General features: G+C 44.1%; 1 protein-coding gene and 1 non-coding gene across 2 annotated transcripts, besides 1 other annotated feature; both read right to left on the minus strand.

The window, feature by feature from the left end:
* Positions 2159-7816, minus strand: NEFL (neurofilament light chain). Its single transcript, NM_006158.5, has 4 exons — positions 6676-7816; positions 5385-5509; positions 4680-4999; positions 2159-4156 (listed from the first exon to the last, which is right to left on the minus strand). The coding sequence occupies exons 1-4, from the start codon at positions 7717-7719 to the stop codon at positions 4014-4016; spliced, it is 1632 nt and encodes a 543-aa protein (NP_006149.2). The 5' UTR covers positions 7720-7816; the 3' UTR covers positions 2159-4013.
* Positions 5000-5071, minus strand: MIR6841 (microRNA 6841). Its single transcript, NR_106900.1, has one exon. It is a non-coding gene; the product is annotated as a microRNA 6841 (primary transcript).
* Positions 5367-6566: an enhancer, noted in NCBI's record as "BRD4-independent group 4 enhancer chr8:24811677-24812876 (GRCh37/hg19 assembly coordinates)". NCBI's record gives its function as "activates an origin of replication core promoter dependent on BRD2, P300/CBP, MED14 and CDK7 cofactors, and independent of BRD4, by STARR-seq in HCT116 cells {active_cell/tissue: HCT116}" and the evidence as "EXISTENCE:reporter gene assay evidence [ECO:0000049][PMID:35650434]".

An 8480-nucleotide genomic window follows, 5' to 3' on the forward strand; every position in this document is an offset into this window, starting at 1 on the left:
ACTTGAGGACTACTAAAATGTCAACAGAACTAGAAAATAGTATCCAGATAGAAGAATAACATCATGAGAACCAGCATCTTGAATGCTGGTGATCCTTGAAGGTAAATGTCAAACTCATCTCTGCTTATAAGACTTGACTCCTGCCTTCTGAAAGCTTCTATTAGCAGAGGAACTAAGATATGGACATAAGTCATCAAAGGGGTGAAAGAAAACCTTGATCCTAACTGCAGTGGAACACTGTGAGTGTATATGTGGCTCTTGAACGGTACACGACTGCCTTGTAAGGATTCTGACTATTGTGTGAACTCCCCAACCACTGTCACAAAACATGCCTGTGGAAACATACTCTGATGCCACAAGTGTACCTTATAAGCTGGACCACAAAGGAGATGCAGTGAGGTGGGTGAGTCTGAGTCTCAGCCCTGCCACCAACCAGCTACATGACCTTCGTCGACTCACTTAACCTTAGTTTCTTATCTGTAAAATGGGGATTATAGGCTGCTCGCAGTGGCTCACACCCGTAATCCCAGCAGTTCAGGAGGCCAAGGTAGGCAGATCACCTGAACCCAGGAGTTCAAGACCAACCTGGGCAATGTAGTGAGGCCCTGTCACTATTTTTAAAAAATACAAATAACTTTTAAAATAATAATAACATAGGGAATGATAATCATAGTGGACTCAGAATGTTGTTGCATGTAAGGAAATGAGTTAATGCAGAAAATGTACTTAGAACAGCATCATGGGACATAGTAACCCCCTCCAACAGCACTGGAATCTCCATATGGGTAAAAAAGTGACGAATTTAATTGCTTACCAATTTGAGCAGTTAAATTGCTAGCAATGAAACTTCACACTAAGTTTAGCAATTCCCTTTAGGGGGTGGATTTTTAGTGAGGACATGAGTATCATATGTGTGTTTTCCATTCAGCCATTTAGCCTGGACTTCTAAAATAAAGCAGTAAGGGTATTTCAGGAGATTTTGAATTATGAATCTAGAATGGATCTGAAATGTCCACCACTGAACCCTTGTGTAGATAAGCAAATTGAGGTTGGGCAGGAATGGCCAATGTTCCATAATAGTGCAAAGCTAGGACCCAGGATGGACTCTTGATTCTTGGTTCTTTGCTCTTTCTACAAGAAGGTATGGACTAGACTGGGACTTATTATTGAACACTCTTGACTTGCCAGTCATCTTGAAGGCATTTTAATCGATGGGGAAAGTCACTCATTAAATAAATATCCACTGTGCTTCTACTATGGCAGGAACTATGCTGGATACTGGGGCTAAATTAATGAGCAACAGAGATCTGATTCTAATACTTGTAAAGATCCCACTGTAATGGGGGAGGCAGACATTCATCAACTGATCACACAAATAGATGCTAATGGCAAGAATCAAAAAGCCTACAAAGTCTTATGTACATATTTCAAAGAATTTGACCCACTAGAAGAGGTCAAGGGAGGCTTCCTTTAGAGAATGACATTTAAGCCTAAATCTGAAGGGTCAGTAGGAACCGGCTGGGCAAGGCTGAGGGAAGGAGAGAAAAGATGAGTGCTCCAGAAAAAGGAATCACCAAAAATCCTGTGACAGATGGGAGAACAGAATACCAGGGTGACTGGAGTGCTGGAAGTGGAGGGAAAGGGCTGTACAATGGGATGAGGTTAGAGAACTAGGCAGGAGTCAGCACTAGGCAGGCCTTGAAGATCACATTTGAGATTTTGGTTTTCATATTAAAAGTGGGAAACTATTAGAGGGTTCTATTCAGGGAGATGCCAAGATCAAAATTTTCTTTTTAAAAGATTAGCCTGCTGTAGGGTGCTAATTGAAGGAGACCAAGAGTAGGCCCTGGGAGAAGGGTTAGAGTGGTGGCAGTATAAATTGAAAGATGTGGAAGGATTTAAGACATTGAAAGATGTGGAAGGATCTAAGACATGGAGGTGTTCTCACTATAACTCTGTGATAGGTTAGTGTAGAGGGGCAGAGGAGAGGTAATGGGAGGTAGGATGTCATTTAAGGAGTCCATTTAATGGAATCAGATGATTATAGAGAGGGGATCATTCATTAGGAGAGGGAATACTGAAAGAGAACTGCAGGTTAAAAGGGGCACTGACCACAGTACCAAATTTGGGGAAATGTTAAAAAAGACTTTAAGCTCAATTTAGGTTTTTTACTATTTTATTATGGCACACAGGATAGAGGATGGTACAGTTTTCTTACTTCAACCAAGTAATTCTCAAAGCATCCAGCTATTTCCATTTGGCTAAAGTTACTTTTTGCACATAGCTTGCATCTGTTTGAGACTTACCATGTACATCAACCCAGGTCTAGTAAGCAGAAATGTGAAAAGTTTTGTTTCTGAGGAGACGCCTCATCTTTACAGAAGCCAATACACTGAGAGCCTTCATAGTTCCAATCCATTACCATCATGGCAAGGAAGCACTTTACCTATTTGCATAGCAACATATATTTAACTAGAAATAGGTGGTACAAAGGGATTAAGTAACTTTAAATGGAGACCACTTTGGTTTCAGGTTAAATTAATAACTTATAGAGATCGTCTAAAAAACAAATATTGAATGAAATTAGCTGACAAAGCAATTGTTTCAGAACAAAGGCAGAATAGCAGATAGTAATATCATCTATATTTATTCCACATCAAATGCAAGAGCGTTCTTAACTTTACGACAGAAAGGATACATGGGGCGTGTATTTGATGCAATGTCCAACCAGTCAAGCTATCATTGAAATCCAAATATCTCCCAGTAGAGACATGCAGAGCAATGTCAATGTAACATACAAGCATATTACCTCCCCCCTTAAGTGACTCATAATTTCATTACTTGTGTCTGTAGCTTTTAAAGGTTTAAAAATGTGTAGCATTAAGTGGTATTTACTTGAGGCAACAGAATTACGCTTAACAACACACTAAATCATGAGCTCAGGATTGCAGGCAACATGTTTGCAGTGGAGTGGCAAATAACCTTTGGTAGTTTTAATCCCTTCTCCTGAAATTATATATAGATAAAAAATTATTCCTTCTTATTGTACCATGTTCTCAGGTTTTAACCTCCTCCCATGATATTTAGACTATATTTTAAAATGCAGTTATAGGGATGAATGTATGGGATTCATATTCTATCCATATTGCATTGTGACATATCAGTTTGAAATGACCTATTTATCATGGTTCCATAGTGTAATGGTTAGCACTCTAGACTCTGAAATGACCTGTTTACCATAAAGAGTGTATCTGTCAAGTAATTTCAGAATTGCTCCCTAGAAAGCCATCCCAAAACCTAACACAACACGTGTTATGAGGCAAAGTCTATTGTTATTTATAGACTTTCTCATTTACTCATGTTTATTATCAGTAAAATTTTTGTGGGGAGAGATTTCACAAGTAATCATGACATAACTGTATCCCTCAGAATTTCCAATTGAAGGAAGAAAAAAAAGTATTGGTAATTGTTAAAATTTCAACTTTTTAAAAAATTGGAGGTCAATAGTCCACTGGTATATACTTTATATTGGTGCCATCTTTAAGGTATTTTAATTAAGTAACAACCACAGCAAAAAATACATCATTCGGTATAACTTTATTTACTATTTATTGCACATAACTCAGGGTCTTTAATTGCTAACCACCGAAGGTTCAAAGGACTATTTTTCCATGAAGTTTAACATTAACATTAGTGAATTCATTTACTCATGTGGTGTTTTTTATTGTAAACATCTGAATGATTCACATTGCCGTAGATCCTGAACTCATAAGCGTGGTCCATGCACAGGCTGGCAGCAAGCCAGAAAGCCACTCTGCAAGCAAACAGATACTCTGCATAAAGAGGAAATTCATAGCACAACATTGAATGTCCAACCTAAGTCATCTCAGAATTATACATATATTGACTTTTTAATTCACATAGAATCTGGAACTCAACTGGTTGGTTGGTTGGTGATGGGGTTGACCTGATTTCGGGAGAATTATTCCTGAAATAATTAAGGAAATGGGGGTTCAATCTTTCTTCTTAGCTGCTTGTTCCTCCCCAGCACCTTCAACTTTCTTCTCCTCCTCTTCAGCTTCTTTGGTTTCCTCTCCTTCTTCACCTTCACCTCCTTCTTCTTCTTCTTTTGCTTCTTCAGACTCTTCCTTGGCAGCTTTAACATAAAAAGAAAATGTACAAAATGCAAATCCAGGGTAAGTCCAGTCAAAACATGTCTGCAAAGGTTTTATTTGCAAACACAACTGTCAGAATGCTACCAAAACCTCCCAGCTCCACTCTCTCCAAAAGCACATGTAACAGACAAAGCTTGCCATGAATAATTTGCCACTGAACACATATTTAAATCGAATGAGATCACTTCTAGGTATGGGAAGCTCTGCTCCTCTCCAAGACTTAACCTCAATATTTCTTTCATTATGTGTCTGGTATCTATTTTTGTTCTTTAGGACACCAACCTGCTGTGTTAAATGATTATATTAAAAAATGAAAATTTTGACCAATCACCTCATTCAGAGTAGATGCCTTAGGAAAGTTTTGCTAAACAAACAGAAAATTTATTTATGATTCTAATGTCATATATGAATAAATGAGCAAGGCTTCATTTGTCTTATCCACCTCCTAACAAATCTCCACACCCAGTTTACACTTGAAGTTGCAGGGGTTTTTTCTTATCATACCTTCTTCCTCTTCAGCTGCCTCCTCTTCCTCGGCCTCTTCCTTGTCCTTCTCCTCCTCCTCGGCTTCTCCTTCAGAGGGGGGCTCATCCTTGGCTTCCTCAGCCTTGGCAGCCTCAATGGTTTCCTCCACTTCGATCTGCTCCTCTTGGACATGGCTGGTGTAGTAGGACGGGAAGGAGCGGGTGGACATCAGATAGGAGCTGGTCTGTAAACCGCCGTAGGCAGATCGGCCAAAGACCTGGGAGCTCTGGGAGTAGCCACTGGTTATGCTTCCCACGCTGGTGAAACTGAGTCGGGTCTCCTCGCCTTCCAAGAGTTTCCTGGGGATGCAGATGCAAGGTGAGGTTAAAAAACACCTGTGTTTCACAACTTGCTCTGAGTACCCTAAACACAAAGGCAAGCAGGAGCAGGGCTGGGATTTATCAATACTTAATGCCTGGGGATCTTTTGATGGAGACCAGAAAAAATATAAATAAATCATCCTATTAGATTTAAAGTGTAATGACAAGATAAAAACAGGACTCCTAATTACAGGGTTAAATTCTTATATATCTAAATACCCTCTTCTTGGAAGAAGCCAAAAACTAACACTTCATTATTTCAAAAGGACTATTATTGAAGGTTTCTGATCCAACATAACTTTAAATGGGATCTGATTTTCTTCCTAAGGTTTAATGGCTGCTGTCTTTGCCCCTCTATTTTCACCTGTAAGCTGCAATCTCAATATCCAAAGCCATCTTCACGTTGAGGAGGTCTTGGTATTCTTTTAGGTATCGTGCCATTTCACTCTTTGTGGTCCTCAATTCATTTTCTAATTTGTTGATCGTGTCCTGTTTGAAGACAAAAATAAAACAAAAAAAAAATCCGAGCATAAATCCCTTCTATTATTTTACTGTAGTGTAGTTGCAAAGGCCTAGTTTCGATTAAAATCAAGGTGCACACCTTTGATAAAATCTCTCCTAGAATAACTTCCTGTATCTTTTGAAAAACCTTCATGCCTAAAATACCCAAGTTCATGAAGCCTGAGATGAAAAAAAAGATGGACGAAAATTCTGTTCTTCTGTTTCTTTACTTAATACTGTTTAATGATCATCATAAAATGCATGCAAACAGACTAAGTTGATAGAAAAACTGTGTCTCTCATTCACTGATTAACTCTTCTTTAGCTGGGTTACATGCCAGGAAACTAATGCCTTTCTTTATGAGAAGAAAATAGCCAGATGTAAACAAAAAAAAGAAAAAAATTATTTTCTATGAAATATTTCCTATGTATCTAAATTATTTTTTCTACTCCCCAGAAGAAGAAAAAAATTTCTACTCCCCAGAAGATGGAGATGTTTTAAAATGGAGATCTTTTTAAAATTGTATTTTTTCTACTCCCCAGAAGATGGAGATGTTTAAACAGAAATGTTGTAGAAGATTTTACACATAAAGAAAAAAAGAAAAAAAAAAGGTAAAAGGAAATGGTTTACTATGAACATCACTAGTTAACTACCTAAAACAATGTTGACTATTTTCCTGTCTACCTACTAAATAAAGGAAGGGAGTGGTTGGTAAAACTAGTCATAAAGCATGCTGGTCACAGTAATCCTTCAGAATTAATTGAGAGTTGTTCACTCTACTATTTATTAACTAGATGATCCGATAGTTGCTGCAAAGTAACTTGTGGTTAATGCAGGTCAGTAGAGAGCTGATCTCACTGCAGGCCGGAGGCAACGCCCAATTCCCACGTCTTCCCCTCCCCCACCCAACAAGGGCTGGGCAGCTTTAATGCGGAACGCCGGTGCAGCAGCACGGAGCACACTCCCAGACTACAGTGGCGCCCGCACTCACGCCCTTCAAGTGCCCCACCCCTCCCACACAGTGGCCAAGGAGCCAAGCCCTATCCCTAAGAGCTGCGTGCAGCCGCACCACCCCTGGTCTCCACTTTCTGGGCGCACCAACTCCCCCCCTTGCTCGAGTCCCCCGCCCCCCTGTGTTTCTGGCCGTGCCGCACCTGCATAGCGCTGATGTCGGCGTTCTGCTTGTCCTCCAGCTCCTGCAGCTGCTTCTCCAGCGCTTCATTCATGCCCCGGCATGCTTCGATTTCCAGGGTCTTGGCCTTGAGCAGACGACGGCTCTCGGACACCTCGTCCTTGGCGGCGCGCACGGCGTCGGTGTTCTTGGCGGCGCTCTCGGTCAGCACGGTGAAGCGGCTCTTGAACCATTCCTCAGCGTTCTGCATGTTCTTGGCGGCCAGCTTCTCGTACTGCGCGCGGATGTCCTTGAGCGCGGCGGAAAGGTCGGGCTTGGTCACGTCCATCTCCACGGAGATCTGCGCGTACTGGATCTGCGCCTGCAGTTCGGCGATCTCCTCTTCGTGCACTTTCTTCAGAAAAGAGATTTCGTCCATCAAGCTGTCGATGCGCTTCTCGAGCTCGGCGCGAGCGAGCGCCGCCTCGTCGGCGCCTTTGCGCGCTTCCATCAGCCGGCCCTCGGCGTCCTCGCGGCTCAGCACCTCCTCTTCATAGCGCGCCTGCAGGTTGCGCAGGGTCTCCTCCAGCCCTTCGCGCTCGCCCTGGAGCGCCTGCTTCTCGTTGGTGGCATCTTCCGCCGCCAGGCGCAGGTCGCGGATCTCCTGCTCGTACAGCGCCCGGAAGCGGGATGGCTCGGAGTGCTTCTGGCGCAGCACCAGCAGCTCGGCTTCCAGGACCTTGTTCTGCTGCTCCAGCTCGTGCACGCGCTCGATGAAGCTGGCGAAGCGGTCATTGAGGTCCTGGAGCTGCGCCTTCTCCTGCGTGCGGATGGACTTGAGGTCGTTGCTGATGGCGGCTACCTGGCTCAGGTCGAGGTTCTCCAGACTGGGCATCAACGATCCAGAGCTGGAGGAGTAGCTGCGGCGCACGGACAGCGAGGAAGACACCGGCGCCGAGTAGCTGGAGTAAGCTGAGCGTGCGGTGCTGTAGCCGCTGCGCACGCTGGAGATGTGCACCCGGGGCGTCTCCACGTAGCGCCGCTTGTAGGAGGTCGAGTAGTACGGCTCGTAGCTGAAGGAACTCATGGTGGCGGCCGGTGGCTCCCCGGCCCGCGGCGGCGGTGGGAGCCCGGAGAGAGAGGACAGGGGAGAGAGGGAAGGGGGAGGATGGATGGCTGTGTGCGGCTCGGCGCCGTTCTGCCACCCCTATTTATACGCCGGGAGGCTCCTGACGCAGCCTGCGATCGATCACGGCACGCCGGCCAGTGGGGGCAGCGCGCTGCTGCAGCCAAGGCGAGGATTCTGCGCAAAAGGGAAGGCGGGGTCGAGCTACGGCCCGAGGAGCTGCGGCGGTCGTCCTTTCCACTTTGCTCAGAGGGCCCTGATTTTCTCTGAGATCCCATGCCCCCTCACTCATTTCCCTTCTGTACTCACTCACGCAGCCCCTCCCGTCCTGCATTGCCCAGACCCCGTGACACTTGGATCCTTAAGTTGCCCCCAAAACAGGTTCTTGCTCCCTTTTGACACCCTAGTTTTCTGTATCCCGTCACCTCGCAGACACCCTGTCCCCCCAACTCGCCCTTTTCCCACCAGGAACCTCCTTAATTTTTTCCCTTGGTGTTTACGGTGATGGTGCGGCTAGGGAATTTTAGATACAAATAAATAGGCTAGGTTATGTGTATGCAGTATGTATGGAGAAGAGTTTTAATTTCTTTCTAGCTTTCTGGCACTTTCTGCAATTCATCTTCCTTTCTCCTGATTATTTTTCTTTTTCTTTAATGAGCTGCTTAACACATAGGGAATGTGCGCGCGAGTGCGCGCGCGCGCGCGCACACACACACACACAC

This window comes from Homo sapiens, chromosome 8 (assembly GCF_000001405.40).
Source record: "Homo sapiens chromosome 8, GRCh38.p14 Primary Assembly".
NCBI lineage: Eukaryota > Metazoa > Chordata > Mammalia > Primates > Hominidae > Homo > Homo sapiens.

Excerpts from the sequence above, each read along its gene's own strand:
- NEFL (NM_006158.5), bottom strand. The coding sequence starts at position 7,719 with ATGAGTTCCTTCAGCTACGAGCCGTACTACTCGACCTCCTACAAGCGG. Across the intron at positions 5,510-6,675 it reads CCGACATCAGCGCTATGCAG|GACACGATCAACAAATTAGA; the intron begins GTGCGGCACGGC and ends GTCTTCAAACAG. Across the intron at positions 4,157-4,679 it reads GGCAGCTGAAGAGGAAGAAG|CTGCCAAGGAAGAGTCTGAA; the intron begins GTATGATAAGAA and ends TTTATGTTAAAG.